At 43.6% G+C, this 20925-nt stretch overlaps 1 protein-coding gene across 7 annotated transcripts, besides 3 other annotated features; it reads left to right on the top strand.

The window, feature by feature from the left end:
* Nucleotides 221–750: an enhancer, noted in NCBI's record as "NANOG-H3K4me1 hESC enhancer chr11:14996341-14996870 (GRCh37/hg19 assembly coordinates)". NCBI's record gives its function as "activates a minimal SCP1, AML or CMV promoter by ChIP-STARR-seq in naive H9 embryonic stem cells {active_cell/tissue: H9 hESC(naive)}" and the evidence as "EXISTENCE:reporter gene assay evidence [ECO:0000049][PMID:30033119]".
* Nucleotides 1713–1762: a silencer, noted in NCBI's record as "silent region_3175". NCBI's record gives its function as "represses an Ori minimal core promoter by ATAC-STARR-seq in GM12878 lymphoblastoid cells {active_cell/tissue: GM12878}" and the evidence as "EXISTENCE:reporter gene assay evidence [ECO:0000049][PMID:35858748]".
* On the top strand, nt 3194–8877 carry CALCA (calcitonin related polypeptide alpha). 7 transcript variants are annotated; one of them, NR_125898.2, is made up of 6 exons: nt 3194–3300; nt 4344–4438; nt 5470–5610; nt 6548–6719; nt 7691–7871; nt 8444–8877. NR_125898.2 is itself a non-coding variant. In NM_001378950.1 (5 exons), the coding sequence occupies exons 2-4, from the start codon at nt 4353–4355 to the stop codon at nt 7848–7850; spliced, it is 387 nt and encodes a 128-aa protein (NP_001365879.1). In that variant the 5' UTR covers nt 3194–3300; nt 4344–4352; the 3' UTR covers nt 7851–7871; nt 8444–8877. The 7 variants fall into 7 exon arrangements, 5 of the variants coding, with proteins under 5 accessions (NP_001365879.1, NP_001029125.1, NP_001365878.1 ...); NR_166196.1 differs by having other exon boundaries at nt 3194–3324; NM_001378950.1 differs by lacking the exon at nt 6548–6719.
* Nucleotides 3367–4013: an enhancer, noted in NCBI's record as "H3K4me1 hESC enhancer chr11:14993078-14993724 (GRCh37/hg19 assembly coordinates)". NCBI's record gives its function as "activates a minimal SCP1, AML or CMV promoter by ChIP-STARR-seq in naive H9 embryonic stem cells {active_cell/tissue: H9 hESC(naive)}" and the evidence as "EXISTENCE:reporter gene assay evidence [ECO:0000049][PMID:30033119]".

Below are 20925 nucleotides of genomic sequence, written 5' to 3'. Positions count from 1 at the left end.
CATGCTCTGTTTAGTACTGAAACTCAGAGAAGTTCCAGGAATAGCGGGATGAAATCTAAGTGATCCGCTCACGGGAAGCTCTACCCTTCCTTCGCTCGCTCAGTAAATCCGGGATGGGCTCAGAGAATGACTTCGCATTTTGCACCAGAAGATCTCAGTCTTTAGAGAGAACCCTAGACGAAATCCTTACTTCCCTGCCTCATTCCTGAAAACTTCTACCTGGGAACCGACTTGCTGTGACAAATAAAATGGGAGGAGTCTGGCTGAATAGTTTGTGGATTTCGGAAAGCAAAGCGAAATGCCGCTCTAACTAGGTCCGAATTTTCTGCAAGCTACCTTGTGAAACTGGTGAATTTGCCAGAATGAATTTTCATTCATTTAACTTTGGCGGATCGTCTACTAGGGTGCCTGGCATGGTGCTAATTGCTGGAGAAAATGATTTTCAAACAAAAACGAAAAAAACTTTCGGCCCCCAGCAAGGAGCCAGGCAATTCCTACAAACTCAAGGAGTGCTTGAGAGGTGAGTTAATGACCGTCCCTCCTGTCCTAAAGAGACAGACTTTTACAGTCAGTCTTGAAACTGCTCGGGGCTACACTAGCGCCCTCTGGACGCAGACTCTGGTTAGCGCCCCACGGCACCAGCCTTTGATTTGTAGCTGCCAAAGATTTGATAGTGGGGAGTACGTGTCTATTCTGAAGGCTGAAGACACACACCACAGTCAGGAGTAGAATTCCGACCCCTCAAAGTGACATGGCCACAAAATCTGCGTCTACTGGCTTTCATTTTGCGGTCACCGTGGCACGGGCGAAAGCTATGAACTCTCTCTTTAGGAAAACACACATCACAGACACACACACTTACAAACGGTTTCAGGAGGTTCTTATGTTAGAAACCTCTGGTCTTGGAAAAAAATCATTTCCGCTGAAGTATGTGGTAGCTGAGCGCAAATACCCTTCTGCTACAGCCCCAGTGGCAGAGGCCCAAGCACTACGCCCCACTCAGTGCCCGCACTGCGGCCTTCGCAACTCTTCAAGCAGCTCTGCACCGAAAACCCAGGCCGGAGATCCGAGCCTAAACTGCTGAAAAGCTCCAAGGCTCCGGACAGGGTCTCAGCAGGGGTTATCTTCCTTCAGGATCCGGGGCTCATTGTGCCCAAGATCCGCCATCCAAGCCCTGCTCTGCGCGCAGCTTGCCTGTTTCACGCTCTGCGCCTGACACGCGCCGGTGTCCTCCCGGGCCAGTTCCAGTCCCGGGTCCTGTGGCCGCCCTGCCGGCGGACCCTGCGGAGAGCGAGTCTTAGATACCCAGTCCCCAGCCCCGAGTTGTTATTCCCTCGCTGTAGTTAAGAAGGAGGAGATCAATTAAGGGCATCTTAGAAGTTAGGCGTTCCCGCTGCCTCCTTTGAGCACGGAGGCCACCAACCCCCTAGGGGGAAGAGATGTAGCGCGAGGCAGGGGTGTCGTGCTAAGAAATTTCGACGCTTCTGGGGACTGAGGACAAAGGTGCGGACACGACCCCGGGGTACCTGGAGTTCCGTGACTCGCGCCACGGACGGCACACCTAGGGGCTAATTTCTGCTCTGCCTCAAAGAACCTCAAGCTAGAGTCCTTGCCTCCGCCCACAGCCCCGGGATGCCGCTGCTGCGCTCACCGCACAGGCAGCGCCCGGACCGGCTGCAGCAGATCGCGCGCTGCGCGTTCCACCGGGAGATGGTGGAGACGCTGAAAAGCTTCTTTCTTGCCACTCTGGACGCTGTGGGCGGCAAGCGCCTTAGTCCCTACCTCTGCTGAGCTGAACGCTCAGGCACAGTGGAACTGAAACCCGGTTCTGCGGGATGTGAGAGCTGTTGAGGTCACGCGTAATTGGGTGTGATGGAGGGCGCCTGTTCGTGATGTGTGCAGGTTTGATGCAAGCAGGTCATCGTCGTGCGAGTGTGTGGATGCGACCGCCCGAGAGACTCGGAGGCAGGCTTGGGACACGTTTGAGTGAACACCTCAGGATACTCTTCTGGCCAGTATCTGTTTTTTAGTGTCTGTGATTCAGAGTGGGCACATGTTGGGAGACAGTAATGGGTTTGGGTGTGTGTAAATGAGTGTGACCGGAAGCGAGTGTGAGCTTGATCTAGGCAGGGACCACACAGCACTGTCACACCTGCCTGCTCTTTAGTAGAGGACTGAAGTGCGGGGGTGGGGGTACGGGGCCGGAATAGAATGTCTCTGGGACATCTTGGCAAACAGCAGCCGGAAGCAAAGGGGCAGCTGTGCAAACGGCTCAGGCAGGTGATGGATGGCAGGGTAGGAAGGGGGAGGTCCAGAGGTCTGGATGGAGGCTTCCGCATCTGTACCTTGCAACTCACCCCTCAGGCCCAGCAGGTCATCGGCCCCCTCCTCACACATGTAATGGATCTGAAGAGTACCCCGGGACAGTCCGGGGAGATGGAGATTCGGAAAGTATCCATGGAGATCTTACAGAATCCCCTGTGCGGACCAGGAAACTCTTGTAGATCCCTGCCTATCTGAGGCCCAGGCGCTGGGCTGTTTCTCACAATATTCCTTCAAGATGAGATTGTGGTCCCCATTTCAAAGATGAGTACACTGAGCCTCTGTGAAGTTACTTGCCCATGATCACACAACCAGGAATTGGGCCAACTGTAATTGAACTCCTGTCTAACAAAGTTCTTGCTCCCAGCTCCGTCTCTTGTTTCCCACGAGCCCTGGCCCTCTGTGGGTAATACCAGCTACTGGAGTCAGATTTCTTGGGCCCAGAACCCACCCTTAGGGGCATTAACCTTTAAAATCTCACTTGGGCAGGGGTCTGGGATCAGAGTTGGAAGAGTCCCTACAATCCTGGACCCTTTCCGCCAAATCGTGAAACCAGGGGTGGAGTGGGGCGAGGGTTCAAAACCAGGCCGGACTGAGAGGTGAAATTCACCATGACGTCAAACTGCCCTCAAATTCCCGCTCACTTTAAGGGCGTTACTTGTTGGTGCCCCCACCATCCCCCACCATTTCCATCAATGACCTCAATGCAAATACAAGTGGGACGGTCCTGCTGGATCCTCCAGGTTCTGGAAGCATGAGGGTGACGCAACCCAGGGGCAAAGGACCCCTCCGCCCATTGGTTGCTGTGCACTGGCGGAACTTTCCCGACCCACAGCGGCGGGAATAAGAGCAGTCGCTGGCGCTGGGAGGCATCAGAGACACTGCCCAGCCCAAGTGTCGCCGCCGCTTCCACAGGGCTCTGGCTGGACGCCGCCGCCGCCGCTGCCACCGCCTCTGATCCAAGCCACCTCCCGCCAGGTGAGCCCCGAGATCCTGGCTCAGGTATATGTCTCTCCCTCCCTCTCCCTCCATTCGTCATTTTCTCACTCCCTTTCCTCCTCTCCCTCTCTCTCCGTTAGTCTCTTCATCAGATAGTCTCTGTTAGTCCGCGATTTATACCAGGCTCGTGCCCTAGGTTGGATCGGACAGTCTCAATCCCCCGGCTCGCTCTTCCTGCTCGGCTGCGGACTCCAGTCTTACTCTCTCGCACTGCACACAGGCTTAGGCCAGTCTCGGGACACTCAGGCTCCCCAGGGACCGCGCACAGAGCCTGAGGCAAGAGAAACTTTCCGCAGACGGTGCGATCAGGGACGGCGTCTGGAGCCCAGCAGTCCCAGGGAAATTGGTTCAGAACCTGGAACAGAGCGGATGGGTGGCAAATAGGCACGACGACTGAGGGACAAGCAGCCCTAAACTGCAAGCCCCAGTCACAGGCTCTGGGAGCAAAGAGAGAAAGTCTTGGGTCCCAATTTAAGAGTAAAACTTGGTTCCTGCAGGGGACTGAGGTGCCAGCAGGCGGAGCTTAGGCTGAGCACTAAAATTGATTCTTTTATTTCTCAGATTCCAATTGCAGAGATAATCTCTGTGGATAGATCCCACCCCTCCCACCAAGGTGTATGCAAAAGCCCCAGAAGAGGAGGACAGCTCTGGGTTTCCTTATGGGATCAGCTTCTGTGACAGGGGCCTGGGAGCATGTCCTCCACAGAGACCTGGCTAACAGGTTTATATGTATCTGTGTGGCTTTGGGGAGAAGGGTAGGACTGAGACCTCCCCCACTCAGCTCTCCCTCTAGGATCGCTCCTCCAGCTCTATCAGACTGTGCATGCTACAGGCCCACTGAACCTCCCAGAAGTCCACTGTGCTGATGAGGAAACAAAAAAGAAGAGAAATATAATGACCAGTCTGAAGCCACAAAGCCAGAGCGTTAGAAGCAAGACAGAAAACCAGGATAGGAGCCAAGGTCTGTGGGCTCCTAGAACTTCGAACTGGCGCAGGTGGTTTATCTCATTCTTCCCTTGCAGAGAGGTGTCATGGGCTTCCAAAAGTTCTCCCCCTTCCTGGCTCTCAGCATCTTGGTCCTGTTGCAGGCAGGCAGCCTCCATGCAGCACCATTCAGGTAAGACAGCCTGAAGCCAGAACCACACTGGTATCAGACAATTCCATGCCTCTTAAGTGTGGTGTACTGAATGCTTAAAAACCGACAGGGGGCCGGGGTAAGGTATGTACTCATGCACATATATAATTTTTTGATATAAAAATGTGTGGTACACAATTTATAAGTAGTGATAAATATTTAGACAATATTCTTCATTATAATTTTTTTGAGACAGAGTCTCACTCTGTCATCCATGCTGGAGTGCAATGGCACCGTGTCGGCTCACTGCAACTTCCATCTCCTGGGTTCAAGCAATTCTCCTGCCTCAGCCTCCCAAGTAGCCGGGATTACAGGCGCCCACCACCATGCCCGGCTAATTTTTGTATTTTTAGTAGAGATAGGGTTTCACCATGTTGGCCAGGCTGGTCTCAAACTCCTGACCTCAGGTGATCCACCTGCCTCAGCCTCCCAAAGTGCTGAGATTACAGCCGTGAGCCACCGCGCCCGGCCTATTATAAATTTTATATAGCCCACTGAGTCTCACAAAATGCTTTTGTTGCTTTTAGCCAAACTTTTGTATGTGTAGCCATCCTATTTATCCTATTCAGCCATGATTTGAAAAATGAATTGCATCCTATTCTGTTAAATAGTTTGCCACTAAATTTGTTATTGTTAAATCTGGTATTTTACCTGTTGATCTATTTCTCACCCACATATAAATCTATTAAACTGAAACTATTTTCAGGTTCAGCACTAACTGTAAGTTTTTGCATTTAATTTTTAATAATGGCTGCACTCAGCTTGCAAAATTCTTGAAAATTTAACCATTAGCTTTCACAAGCCTATACAAACTGGCTCCAGCACACCACTGTTTAGAGGCCACACCAGTGCCTGGGTCCTGAGGAGGACACTGGCCTTGTGCCCTGTCCCCTAGGACTCCCGCTGGCCACATCCTCAGGGGAAGAAGCAAAGACCAGGAAGCCTGGCTGCTTATCCTGGGGAGGGGCAGGCAGGGGCTCACAGCCTGCACTGAGTTTGCTTCCCCTCCACAGGTCTGCCCTGGAGAGCAGCCCAGCAGACCCGGCCACGCTCAGTGAGGACGAAGCGCGCCTCCTGCTGGCTGCACTGGTGCAGGACTATGTGCAGATGAAGGCCAGTGAGCTGGAGCAGGAGCAAGAGAGAGAGGGCTCCAGGTGAGGCTCCCCAAGCGCTCAGCACAGGGCCTCCTCTCCCCGCAGCATACACAGGAAGGTGGATCCCGAGAGGTAGGAGAGAACACACTGGCCAGGAATCCAACAGGCTGTGTTGTTCACCGGGACCTGGGGCCCAGCTGTTCTCAGCCTCCAAGGGAGACAGAGGTCCCACTGCAGCTGGAGGTACCGTGGTTAGACATAACAAAAGGCTCCGTTTCTGAAAGTTCTTAGGAAATGAAATGGGGAGGTGTGGAATCGCTCACTGTGGGAATTGTTCTTGCAGTACTGGGAGACCTCCCAGCACTGGATGAGTTAAGACTAGTAAGGGTGAAGTCAGGGATACACATAGTACATCTCAGGAAGTTTTAGAAATTTGGATCCACCTTGTTAATCTGCATACGACATTCTTTCACACCTGCAAGGAGCTTTCATTTCACATTTGCAAGGTGAAGGTGAGGCCCTTGCAGGGGATGGGGATGGGTAGAGCAGTGTCTGAGGTAGGTTTGAGCCTTTAAATGTGTGGCATCTGTGGAGATGTGCATGTTGTCAGGAGGCCAGGGAGAGCACCCTTCCCCAGATCCACATCCCTGTGTACCTTGAGCCTGAGCAGAGACCAGCCCCTGGCCTGGCCCCAGCACTGCTCAGGCAGAGGCATGTGTTGCCCCTGCATCTGCCCTGAGAACCCCTCTGTCAAGCATGAAGGACTGAACAGCATGTGGAATGCCAGAAAAGATCATCCTTCCCCATCCAGCCCTTCCCTGCATTGCCCTAGCCCACTGCACCTCTGAGCTCTCCTAATGAAGGATAGATAAGTGAGCTGCCCTCCTGCCTGCCCCTCCTGCTCCCAGGGTCCCCTGCCTGGTCTAACCTTCTAAGTGACTGCCCATGGGGACAGATTCTGGTGCATGGTACTGTCTGGTATGTGTTTTCCCTGCAGCCTGGACAGCCCCAGATCTAAGCGGTGCGGTAATCTGAGTACTTGCATGCTGGGCACATACACGCAGGACTTCAACAAGTTTCACACGTTCCCCCAAACTGCAATTGGGGTTGGAGCACCTGGAAAGAAAAGGGATATGTCCAGCGACTTGGAGAGAGACCATCGCCCTCATGTTAGCATGCCCCAGAATGCCAACTAAACTCCTCCCTTTCCTTCCTAATTTCCCTTCTTGCATCCTTCCTATAACTTGATGCATGTGGTTTGGTTCCTCTCTGGTGGCTCTTTGGGCTGGTATTGGTGGCTTTCCTTGTGGCAGAGGATGTCTCAAACTTCAGATGGGAGGAAAGAGAGCAGGACTCACAGGTTGGAAGAGAATCACCTGGGAAAATACCAGAAAATGAGGGCCGCTTTGAGTCCCCCAGAGATGTCATCAGAGCTCCTCTGTCCTGCTTCTGAATGTGCTGATCATTTGAGGAATAAAATTATTTTTCCCCAAAGATCTGAGCTGTGGTGGTCATTGCTCTGATCTATGTCCCAGGCTTCATAGTGTCTAAGACCTATGCTTAGAAATAGCCTTAACCCTAGGCTAGCTGGACAGAGGATATGGTGGGTGGTCCCTTTGACCAAGCTCAAGCAGGAAGAACAGGGGTCCTAAGGAGCAGGTAAGCACCTCTAGGACTTGATGCTGCAAACTCCGCTCCTCTTCCAGGTAAGACTGAGGAATTTTTTATTTTCCTAAGAAAGGGTATTTGGTGCCCGTGACTGGGGTGTAGATTTTATAGTCCTTTGTGAATGGGGCTGGGTGTGGGACCATAATTCACTCCAGTGTCATAAACCTCCGCTTTGATTTTTAGTTAATTTATACAGGAAAGATTGGCTGTTACTGCTCCACATTCCATAGCCAGTCATCCAGAGTCACCTTGGGTTTTCTGACACCCCTGGGAATATCTATGGGGAGTGATCATGGCATTTTCCCTAATGGCCTTGTGATTTTCTGCTCTGATAATTGTGTTTAGGAGAAACACTTAAAGTTAATTGGTGCCTTTCAGCACAGCAACTTTACCATGAAGGTCCCATGGGGCTGACCTCTCTCCCAGCCTCTCACTCACAGATCTTCTCTTCTTTCTCCATCCTGCAAATCAGAATCATTGCCCAGAAGAGAGCCTGTGACACTGCCACCTGTGTGACTCATCGGCTGGCAGGCTTGCTGAGCAGATCAGGGGGTGTGGTGAAGAACAACTTTGTGCCCACCAATGTGGGTTCCAAAGCCTTTGGCAGGCGCCGCAGGGACCTTCAAGCCTGAGCAGCTGAATGACTCAAGAAGGTGACTGCCCTTGTATGATGGGATGGGAAGATGAATGACTGGTTTTTACAGGGGTGTAAAACCACTCTGAGCCTCTCTGAGACCATGTGGTTTTAAAAAATCCATAAGGGAAGGTACCCACACCAGTATCTGAGTTCCAGTAGCTAAGACCCTAGAATTTGGATTCATCTCTGTTTTTTCAGTCTCTCCTTGTAACCCTGAGATCATCAGACCAAGAAATACAGATCCTGTTTATTTAGAACACTGCTGTTTGACATTTATAATTTTGATTATTCTAGCCTTTGAGTTTGAAAGATAATGACACTATCATTTTAGAGTATACATTACTATGTTGTGTACCTCTGAATTAAGTGTACAGACTTGAGTTCAAGAACTGTATTTGCCCTTTACCAGCTATATGACCATGAACAGGTTACTTAACTCTCTCCAAGCCTCAGTTTCTCCATCTGTAAATTGAGGGCTACAATAGTACCTACCTCCAAGCATTACTATAAAGAGCAAGTGAGGTAATAGATGTTAAGTCTGACAATTAACCAGTAACTAAATTCTAGCTGTTATTTTCTTCCTCCTAGGTCACAATAAAGCTGAACTCCTTTTAATGTGTAATGAAAGCAATTTGTAGGAAAGGCTCCATGGAAGACATACATATAGGCATCCTTCTTGATACTGAAAACTATCTTCTTTGTTTGAAAGGAACTATTGCTAAATGCAGAACAAGCTCATTGCAGTTACCTATTGTGCATCTTTTTAAATACTTGATTATGTAACCATAAATCTGACAGCATGTCTCATTGGCTTATCTGGTAGCAAATCTAGGCCCCGTCAGCCACCCTATTGACATTGGTGGCTCTGCTAAACCTCAGGGGGACATGAAATCACTGCCTCTTGGGCATCTGGGGACACATGGTAATGCTGTGCCTTGACAGAAGTATTTGTTTAAAGAAATGTCAATGCTGTCATTTGTGAACTCTATCAAAATTAAAAATGTATTTTCTATACCCTTCAATGGAATCTCTGCTGCTATTTATGCTATTTTTCCCAGGAGAGTTTCAGGGGCCTGTAAGCACTCTGTTGACCAACCAATCTGACTCACTTAGCACAAAGACAACATGCCTGGGATGGATCCCTAGTGTCTTGTACCCTCAGTTTCTAGTGAAGCATCCCCTATTGGAATTAGGGCCTTGTGCATGTCAAAGAGAACAATTCATATTTATTTTCAGAGGGTGCCCTGGTCTCCAGCCTCAGAAGTTACCCATGTACTCCTCCTTCATGCAGGTTTGCCTTTACCCATCCCTGCCCTTCCTCCATATAAGAAGCTCTTCATGCACCCCTTAGCCTGCTTTAGATGGCTCAGAGCCTAAAATGGGGATCACAGACTGGCCAACCTAGAAAGGTCATCAATGCCATTCAACCCAACTTTTTTATTCTGTGAGGTTCAGAGAAATGTCTTGCTCAAGGTCCAGCAATAGGTTTAACAGAGACATTCACATACTTCACAAATACTTATTGAGTGCCTGCTATATGCTAGGCACTATTCTAGGCACTAGGAATAGAGCAATGAACTGAACAGAGCAGACAAAACTCCCTGGGCTCATGGGCTTACATTCTAGTGGGGGAGATTGAGGTGGTACATGCTATAGAATCAAGGACTCTCAGTATTGGAAGGAATCCAGAATGTCATAGAGTCTGATGCCTTCCTTATTCAAGGTAGGAATTACCCAGCATCAACAACCATAGCATCCTTTGGGACCACCAGTGACAAGCTGCTGAGTGTAACTCCCAAAGTGAGTTGGCAGCCAGTTTCACTGGTGGTAGTCAGCTAATTAGGGTTAGTTATTAGCTAACTAGTCAGCTAGTGGTTAGAAAAGTCAGCTCCTTCTACCCACTGACTCTATTTTCTCAGGCCATATAGAATTATGCCCCCTTCTCTCCTTCAGTCTGTATTCAACACAATAACCCACTGTGACTGTAAAAGATAGATCACACCGTGTCTCTCCTATGCTCAAAACATCCCAGTGACTCCCCATCTCATGAGCAAACACCTGAAGCATTGCAGGCCAAGTTGATCTTCCCTTTCTCTCCTCTCACCACCACCCCCATTACCTGCCTGACCTCATCTCCTACTCTCCCGCACACTGGCCCTCTTACTATTCCTCAACTTCTGTCTTCCAGCACTCAACCACCACTCGTACTCTGTGAAGAACACCCTCCATCCACGGCCCTCATCTCCTCCAGTTATTTCTCAGATGTCACCTATCCTGACCATTCTTTCTGAAATTGCACTCCACTCCCACTAACAACATACGCTAGCCCTCTTCTTTGCTTAATTTTTTTCTCCTTACTATTTATTACCTCTAGTATACTATATGTTTTGTATATTATTTTGTTATTTGTATCCCTCCCAGCCTTAAGTATAAGATTCACATGGTCAGGGATATGGTTATTTTGTTAATTGCTGTATCCCAAAATGCTGAACAGTGTGCCTGGCACAAGGTAGCACTCTATAAATGTTTGTTGAATGAAAGAGTAAATGAATGAAGTAAAGTCTTCTTCTCTTTTACTTTTGTGGTCAACTCTTAGGTTCCCTCTGGACCTATTTTTCTTCATGCCAAATTCTCCAAGGGCCTTAAGCTTTAACAATCACATCTGGATAGTAAATTGTTCAACAGCCTAAAGACTGCAGTGGCCATCAGTTTGTCAGTAACTCTGTTTCCTGCCTCAAGACTTTTTTTTTTCCTTTATTATTATACTTTAAGTTTTAGGGTACATGTGCACATTGTGCAGGTTAGTTACATATGTATACATGTGCCATGCTGGTGCGCTGCACCCACTAACTTGTCATCTAGCATTAGGTATATCTCCCAATGCTATCCCTCCCCCCTCCCCCCACCACACAACAGTCCCCAGAGTGTGATGTTCCCCTTCCTGTGTTCATGTGATCTCATTGTTCAATTCCCACCTATGAGTGAGAATATGCGGTGTTTGGTTTTTTGTTCTTGTGATAGTTTACTGAGAATGATGATTTCCAATTTCATCCATGTCCCTACAAAGGACATGAACTCATCATTTTTTTATGGCTGCATAGTATTCCATGGTGTATATGTGCCACATTTTCTTCATCCAGTCTATCATTGTTGGACATTTGGGTCGGTTCCAAGTCTTTGCTATTGTGAATAATGCCGCAATAAACATACGTGTGCATGTGTCTTTATAGCAGCATGATTTATAGTCCTTTGGGTATATACCCAGTAATGGGATGGCTGGGTCAAATGGTATTTCTAGTTCTAGATCCCTGAGGAATCACCACACTGACTTCCACAATGGTTGAACTAGTTTACAGTCCCACCAACAGTGTAAAAGTGTTCCTATTTCTCCACATCCTCTCCAGCACCTGTTGTTTCCTGACTTTTTAATGATGGCCATTCTAACTGGTGTGAGATGGTATCTCATTGTGGTTTTGATTTGCATTTCTCTGATGGCCAGTGATGATGAGCATTTTTTTCAGGTGTTTTTTGGCTGCATAAATGTCTTCTTTCGAGAAGTGTCTGTTCATGTCCTTCGCCCACTTTTTGATGGGGTTGTTTGTTTTTTTCCTGTAAATTTGTTTGAGTTCATTGTAGATTCTGGATATTAGCCTTTTGTCAGATGAGTAGGTTGCGAAAATTTTCTCCCATTTTGTAGGTTGCCTGTTCACTCTAATGGTAGTTTCTTTTGCTGTGCAGAAGCTCTTTAGTTTAATTAGATCCCATTTGTCAGTTTTGGCTTTTGTTGCCATTGCCTTTGGTGTTTTAGACATGAAGTCCTTGCCCATGCCTATGTCCTGAATGGTAATGCCTAGGTTTTCTTCTAGGGTTTTTATGGTTTTAGGTCTAACATTTAAGTCTTTAATCCATCTTGAATTGATTTTTGTATAAGGTGTAAGGAAGGGATCCAGTTTCAGCTTTCTACATGTGGCTAGCCAATTTTCCCAGCACCGTTTATTAAATAGGGAATCCTTTCCCCATTGCTTGTTTTTCTCAGGTTTGTCAAAGATCAGATAGTTGTAGATATGCGGCATTATTTCTGAGGGCTCTGTTCTGTTCCATTGATCTATATCTCTGTTTTGGTACCAGTACCATGCTGTTTTGGTTACTGTAGCCTTGTAGTATAGTTTGAAGTCAGGTAGTGTGATGCCTCCAGCTTTGTTCTTTTGGCTTAGGATTGACTTGGCGATGCGGGCTCTTTTTTGGTTCCACATGAACTTTAAAGTAGTTTTTTCCAATTCTGTGAAGAAAGTCATTGGTAGCTTGATGGGGATGGCATTGAATCTGTAAATTACCTTGGGCAGTATGGCCATTTTCACAATATTGATTCTTCCTACCCATGAGCATGGAATGTTCTTCCATTTGTTTGTATCCTCTTTTATTTCCTTGAGCAGTGGTTTGTAGTTCTCCTTGAAGAGGTCCTTCACATCCCTTGTCAGTTGGATTCCTAGGTATTTTATTCTCTTTGAAGCAATTGTGAATGGGAGTTCACTCATGATTTGGCTCTCTGTTTGTTGTTGGTGTATAAGAATGCTTGTGATTTTTGTACATTGATTTTGTATCCTGAGACTTTGCTGAAGTTGCTTATCAGCTTAAGGAGATTTTGGGCTGAGACGATGGAGTTTTCTAGATATACAATCATGTCGTCTGCAAAAAGGGACAATTTGACTTCCTGTTTTCCTAATTGAATACCCTTTATTTCCTTCTCCTGCCTAATTGCCCTGGCCAGAACTTCCAACACTATGTTGAATAGGAGTGGTGAGAGAGGGCATCCCTGTCTTGTGCCAGTTTTCAAAGGGAATGCTTCCAGTTTTTGCCCATTCAGTATGATATTGGCTGTGGGTCTGTCATAGATAGCTCTTTTTATTTTGAAATACGTCCCATCAATACCTAATTTATTGAGAGTTTTTAGCATGAAGGGTTGTTGAATTTTGTCAAAGGCCTTTTCTGCATCTATTGAGATAATCATGTGGTTTTTGTCTTTGGCTCTGTTTATATGCTGGATTACATTTATTGATTTGCATATATTGAACCAGCCTTGCATCCCAGGGATGAAGCCCACTTGGTCATGGTGGATAAGCTTTTTGATGTGCTGCTGGATTCACTTTGCCAGTGTTTTATTGAGGATTTTTGCATCAATGTTCATCAAGGATATTGGTCTAAAATTCTCTTTTTTTGTTGTGTTTCTGCCTGGCTTTGGTATCAGAATGATGCTGGCCTCATAAAATGAGTTAGGGAGGATTCCCTCTTTTTCTATTGATTGGAATAGTTTCAGAAGGAATGGTACCAGTTCCTCCTTGTACCTCTGGTAGAATTCAGCTGTGAATCCGTCTGGTCCTGGACTCTTTGGTTGGTAAGCTATTGATTATTGCCACAATTTCAGCTCCTGTTATTGGTCTATTCAGAGATTCAACTTCTTCCTGGTTTAGTCTTGGGAGAGTGTATGTGTCGAGGAATTTATCCATTTCTTCTAGATTTTCTAGTTTATTTGCGTAGAGGTGTTTGTAGTATTCTCTGATGGTAGTTTGTATTTCTGTGGGATCGGTGGTGATATCCCCTTTATCATTTTGTATTGTGTCTATTTGATTCTTCTCTCTTTTTTTCTTTATTAGTCTTGCTAGCGGTCTATCTATTTTGTTGATCCTTTCAAAAAACCAGCTCCTGGATTCATTAATTTTTTGAAGGGTTTTTGTGTCTCTATTTCCTTCAGTTCTGCTCTGATTTTAGTTATTTCTTGCCTTCTGCTAGCTTTTGAATGTGTTTGCTCTTGCTTTTCTAGTTCTTTTAATTGTGATGTTACGGTGTCAATTTTGGATCTTTCCTGCTTTCTCTTGTGGGCATTTAGTGCTATAAATTTCCCTCTACACACTGCTTTTCCACAGACTATTTCTTTCATTTGGACACACTTCTAACCCCATCTTCCTCCTCCATGTCATTAATTCTGACCAGCTTTTCTTCTTCTTCCCATGCAGTGAACAAAGCAAACCAGGAGGGTCCTCTCCAGGTTTGATACCTGTGAGTGGACAGGTAACTTCAAAATCAGGAGGAGAAACAGCAGGAAGATTATTTCAGTCTTGGGTCCAGGACACCTTCACCAATAATAAAGTTAATACTATATTGAATTCACACAAAGACCTTGTGAATATTTCTCAAATGACCCAGAGTTCATAGAGTAAAAGAGTGTGGTTAATTTTAATCCTCAAATAAAACATAGAGTTCACTGGATCAGGAACCTAAGAAAAGATGTAAGAAGTGCATACGGCAATCAAAGCACAAAATGGAGAAACAATGAGTTTTGATGTGGATGCATCATCAGTCTTTACTACTTACAAACCCCTAGGACACTACAGAGAAAGGATGTCTTTTAATGCCAGTTAATGCTCATCCCAAACAATCAGATCCTCAGTATATATGCTGTGGCTGACTGAATTATTGCTCCCAGTTCTTCACTATACTATCATAGTATTAGAAACGCTTGTTATTGCCATGATATAATGGTTGGTTCACCATGGGTAGAAGTTGCCATAAGGAGAGAAGTTGACTTCTCTGCCTCATGACTCTGGGCTTGACCATGTGGTTTGTTTTGGCAAATGGGCTATAGTAGACATGGTGCAAGCAGACGCTTGAAATATGTTTACGTGGTTGGCTTTTGGGCTTTTGTGCTTCTGCCATCACCATGAAAAGAACATACCCTAGATATCTATCTTAGTCCATTTTGCATTGCTATTATAAAATACAAAAGACTGGGTAATTTATAAAGAAAAAAATTATTTTTCATAGTTCTACAGGCTAGGAAGTCAAGAGAATGGTGCCTGCAAGCATCTGGTGAGGGCCATTTTGCTATGTTATAATATGGGGGAAGGGCATCACATGGTAAGAGGGCAAGATTGTATGTCAGCTCAGGTCTCTCTTCCTCTTCTTATAAAGTCACCAGTCCCATCATGTGTGCTCCACACTGATGACCTTATCTAATCCTAATTTCCCCTCAAAGGCCCCACTGCCAATCAACAAATTAATCTGGTGACTAAGTTTCCAACACATGAAATTTGAGAGACATATTCAAATCATAGAAGTAGTCTTTGCCTTATTAATCTGGACTCCAAAATAAGACATGTGGACCTAAACCTGGCCTACAGCCTGGATCCATACCCAACCAACACTAGCTGAGATCAGTTTCATCCAAACCAAGCCACAAACCCATAAGCAAGAAAAACAAGTATTTGTTATTATAAGCCACTGAAATTAAGTTTGCTTTTATGTAGTGTTGTGGCAATAATTCAGTGATTCATAGTATTTGGGGATGTTATGGATTAAGTTGTGTCCTCCCAAATTTATATGTTGAAGACCTAACCCCCAATCTCCTCCCAAATTTATATGTTGAAGACCTAACTCAAGACCTAATGGCATTTGGAGATAGGGCCTTTGAGGATGTAATTAAGGTTAAAAAGGTCATAAGGGTAGGGCCCTAATCTGATAGGACTAGTGTCCTTATAAGAGGAGAAAGAGACACAAGAGAGCCTTCTCTCTCTCTTCATGCATGTGCACACAGAGTGGAAGGCCAGGTGAAGACAAAGTGAGAAGGCAGCCATCTACAAGCCAGAAAGAGAGGCCACCCTAGAATTATTTTATAACTTTATAAAATAAAATTATTTTTGCTGCCACAGCTTGCTTTTCCTCCCGTTGAGCTCTAAGTAAATTTGATGATCGTCCAACTTGACAAATTTACTTATTTCTTTTTTTATTATACTTTAAGTTCTAGGGTACATGTGCACAACGTGCAGGTTTGTTATTTCTTTTTAGTAATTTATTTTGGTAATCATTTTCACTCTGTCTTCTCAAAATCATCTTAAAGGATGTTTGTCTCATCTCTGTTGCAGCCTCCTGTTGCTGAAACTGAATAACGTATACCTTAGATAAATTAATTGTGGTTCATTTGTATAATGGACATGCACAATACATTACACAGCACTGAATATAAATATATGTATCAACTTTGGATAAATTTTAAACATAATGGTAAGTGTAAAATAAGGTAAGTTGCAAAGGATGCATATCAGGTGATGCCATTTATTTTGAGATTAAAGCATATGTAACAATACTATACATAAGTTAAAGATATATTCACATATAGTAAAAATACAAAGTCATGTATAGGGATTGTAAATATCACATTCAAAAGAGTGATTAATTTTGTGGGGATGGGAAGGAAATGTCATGAAGAGGGATACACAGGTAGCTTCTATCAAGGTTTTTCTTTCCTAAGGTTTTATTTTCTAAGCTGGGTAGTTGGAATAGGTGGATAGCATATATAACTCATGTTTAATAGGAATAAATAAACACAAGCATGGGTCTTTTTTAAGTTAAGGCAACCATCATAAAAATTTTAAATACTAAATAACTTTTAAACTAGCCAAAGAGAATCTATTCTATTCAATGCAAAGCACAAAAATAAAGACCCCAAGAATGTATAGTGGATGCACCATGTGAAAAATGATGGCAATAATAAATACTTAGATGGCTTTAAAATAATTTCAAATTAGTTCAAGTCAACAATTTAAACACCAAGGCTATCAGGTTGCATTTTTAAAGGATTCAGCAATGTTTATTGCACAAAGGAAACTTTTAGAACAAAAAGATTCAAATGGATTAAAATTCAAAATGTAACGAAAGATATGTAAGACAAATATAAACAACAAGTTGTGACAACTTCTTAATATATGGTCAAAATAGAATTCAAGGCAAAAAATGGTTTATGGAATAAGAAATATGCCATATAGAAAAAGAACAATAGAGCAAGAAGATAAATTTATCATGAAAACACGCACTCAACAATACAGCCTCAAATTATGTAAAGTAATTACTGAAAAATTATTGATAGAGAATTAATGCACCCTTCTCAAAAAGCAAAAGGATTCTAGAATCACCCCCCTAATGCGTGGTTCCAAGTTGGCTTGGCAAATACTCCCCAACAATATGGCAGATCTCAGAAATCATACAGTGGTTACACTCACAAAGAAGTGAAAGATTTTATTAATTATCAGATTATGTCTTCTGTCTTAATATTATTTATTAAATAAACCAAAATGTCCTCAATTTATTTGAAATATCAAACGTATCATATACTGATCATCTTCTGGCCTTCTTGTTTTTCTCTTGCATTGATATATCTGTGCACCAGTATCACAGCTTAATAGCTAGGGAAGGAAAAACACCCCCATACTCATCTTTTTCAAAACGCTCTTGACAATTTTCACACATTTACTCTTCCAGAAGTTAGAATAATTTTCAATTTTTAAAAAATACTATTTGTATTTTGAATGGGATTGGGTTTCTCTGGTAGATAATTGTATTATCTATGAAAAACAATAAATCTTATTTCATATTTTTGCTCATCCTGCATCAACTAGAGCTTCTTGAACAATGTTGAAGTAGAAATTGTAATAGCAGGCATCCTTGAAGATGAAGGCTGTTGAATTCAGAGGGAGATTTTTTATCACTTAAGAAAGTACTAAGAAATGTTTTTAAATCATAAATGGATATTAAATTTTATCAAAACACCTTTTGGTATCTAACAAGATTATCTTATGGCTTTCTTCCTTCAATTTAGTAATATTAATAATATATTTTCAAATGTAGAACTAATCATTGCAGTTGAGATTTTCAAATTCTGACTACATGCTAAGCACCACAATAAGTACTTTTTAGATATTAACTCTTTTAATCTTTACAACAACTGCATAAGGTACACACTACCATAAGCCCTATTTTGTGGATGAAGATACTAAGATACACAGAGATTAAATAGATTGATGAAAGCCATACAGTTTTTAGATTCATCTCAAGATGTAAACCTAATCCCAGGCTGTCTATCTAGAGTTTTCTCTCTTAAATCACTATACTTCTTGATAAACTCTACTTGGTCAAGGATATGTTAAAATATACTACTGAATTTAATTTGTGATTTATTTAGGATTTTGTACTACCTTTGTTATATTTAGGATTTGGGCTATATAATACGTAATATATAAAATTATATTTTAAATTATATTTCAATGAGTTTTGCAAATGTTTACCATCTAACCCATGTAACTATCACCACAAGAAAAGTATCAAATATTTCCATTGTTCAAGAATATTCCTCATGCTACTTTGAAGTCAATGTCTCCTAAACCCCTGTTCTATGAAATCACTGACCTGATTTCCATTACTGTGGAGTAACTTTTATACAGATAGATAGAAAGATAGATTAGATAGGTAGATGATAGACAGATAGATAGATAGAATGTATTCTTTTATATCTAGCTCCTTTCACTCACATAATGTTCATGAAACTTATTTATATTGTTGCATGTATCATTATATAATTACTTGGGGGATTAATCAGGTACCAATTCTCAAGGATTTGGGGGAGGAAGAGGGTTAAGTAGTATTTCATTGTTGGATGAATACTTAAAATGTTCCTAGGTTTTATTATGAATGATACTCTTATGACCATTTATGTACTAGTATTTCTGTGAACAGTTAAGTTCTCTTGGATAAATACCTAGAAGTAGTATGGTAAATATGCATATAACTAAACTGTTTTCAAATGGCTATGCCATTTTACACTCCCAGCAGAACTGTGTGATCATTTAACTTGCTCCACACACCCTTGCAAATGCTTGGCGTTTTCAAGTCTTTTTAATTTTAGCCACTCTTATGATTCTGTAGCAGTATCTGATTGTGGGTTTTAATTTTTATTTCCCAGATGAGCATGGTGGCTCATGCCTGTAATCCCAACACTTTGGGTGGCTGAGGCAGATGGATCGCTTAAACCCAGGAGTTTGAGACTAGCCTGGGCAATATAGTGAGACCCGGTCTCCACGAAAATTTTTTTATAAAAATTAGTCAAGCACGGTGGCATTTGCCCGTAGTCCCAGCTACTCGAGAGGCTGAGGTGGGAGGATTGCTTGAGCCTGGGGAGGTTGAGGCTGCTGTGAGCCATGATCACACCACTGCACTCCTATCTGGGTGACAAAATGAGACCCTACCTCAAAGAAAAAAAAATTTCCCTAATGACTACTAATAGTTGAATATCTTCTTATGGCCATTTGTTTATCTTCTTTTGTAAAGTTTCTGTTTAAATATTTTGCCCACTTTTAATTGGACAGCTTTTCTTATTACTATTGAGTTGTAGGAACTCTATGTATATTCTACATACAAACTCCGCTTCCTCTTTGGGCACTGCTTCACCCACTTGCTCACTTTTCTCTACCTCTTGGGTAACTTCTTCTGTAAGAAGCCAGATGCCATGTCAAGAGGCTACTCAAGTAGGCTGTGGAGAGGCCCGTGTGCAATGGGATGGAGATCTCTGGCCAGTGGCCAGTGAGAAATGACAGCCTGCTAATAACCAAGTGTGTGAGCTCAGAAGTGGATAATTCAGGCCCAGTTGAGCCTTGAGATCACCACAGCCCCAGTTGAAAGTTTGACTGCATCCTCATGAGAAACCCTGAGCCAGAACCACCTAGCTGAGCCTCTTCCAGATTCCTGGTTCTCAGAAACTGTGAGATGATAAGTATTTGTAGTTGTGAACTGCCAAATTTTGAGGTAACTTGCTACATAGTAATAGATATCGAATACCTATCAAACTGTGATAACTCCAGCTCAACCCCTGAAATCTGGAAAGCACAGCCTTTGGAGTTGACTGGAGGTGCTGACCTGAGATCACATTGAAGGCCACAGTTCCCAGAAAGGAGGCTTCATCATCAGATCTCATTCCCCTGGTTCCCAGGCCCAGATCAGATTAGGTGCAATAGCATAAGCTGCTTCCACTTCAAACAAAATTAAGTTCTTCTGTTCTTCAACGTCATTGAGTGCATTTTACCAGCACTTTCCTTCCCTCTATGAGGTCTCATTTCTCTCTGTTCTGCATCTACTATTTCATGTCATCCTTTCTGCCTCTGAGATTCTCATGGTGGGAAAGAAACCCTTAAGGCCATGTATACCAAGCACATGGTTGAATGTTCTCTCTATCTCCCACATGGTCTTCTGGCTTATTTTTGAAATCTTGAGGTAACCATCTCCTGTTATCTCATTCTAACTTTGGATTACTCTGACTCTTAGAAAAGTCCTCTAATCATGAGCAGAATTCACTTTCTCTGCTCTCTAGCTCCATTTGATTCCCAAGAGATTCACTCTTGGGCAGACCCTTCATGGAGAATTGGCTGTGACTGAGACCAGACATCTCAAGCAAGGATTTGGTATTAATTGCCAGAAATTTAAAGGAAATCACTTTTTTTTTCCACTATGAAGTCCCTAGCTGCACTGAGGTTTGTATGAGCCATCTCATTAGCTAAATCCATCCTAGATGGTTATCTATTATAAAGAATTTGTCTGATGCTGAGGGATAAGTCTCTTTAATTATTTGGATCCTCAGATAGCTCTTCTCTTGGCAAAACGTTTTCTGGATATTCCTATAGCCACTGCTGCATGTAAGTGATGAGTAGCATGAACAAACAACTTTCCCTTGTCTCTGGTAGGGCCCTGAGCCAAGCACTATAAATTTGGGCCTCATCTCTCCTATTCAGACTTGCCAGGACAATGATAAGATAAATTATTTCCACAAACAGGGTTGCTTTAGAGGCTTCCTGGAGAGCTTGGCTTATCTGTAGGTCTTGGACATTTGTAGGAATGCTTCCTTGCCTTCATAAAAGTAACCAACAATGTGCCAGGCTTTGTATAAAACCTTTAAGATAGTCTACAAAGCTGTGTATAATATGACACCTGACTACTGCTCCACCTTCATTCTCACCATGCTCTTCCTCCCACTCTGAAGTCCAGTTACTCTGGCATTCTTTTAGTGAGTCACATTCAGCCTGTTCTTGCTGCCACAGGGCCTTTCAATGTGGCATTTCTCTGCCCTGAAGTCATCTTATCTTCTCTATTCCCAGGTATCTCTTATCTTTCAGATCTCAGTTAAGTATTACTTCCTTAGAGAAGTCTTCCCAGATTACAACCCCTCAGTCTAGGTTTTATTTCTTTCATATTTGATT

Source organism: Homo sapiens, chromosome 11 (genome assembly GCF_000001405.40).
Source record: "Homo sapiens chromosome 11, GRCh38.p14 Primary Assembly".
NCBI classification, from domain to species: Eukaryota; Metazoa; Chordata; class Mammalia; order Primates; family Hominidae; genus Homo; species Homo sapiens.
The sequence above is the reverse complement of the archived record's forward strand: the minus strand, read 5'-3'. Positions and strand labels throughout refer to the sequence as shown.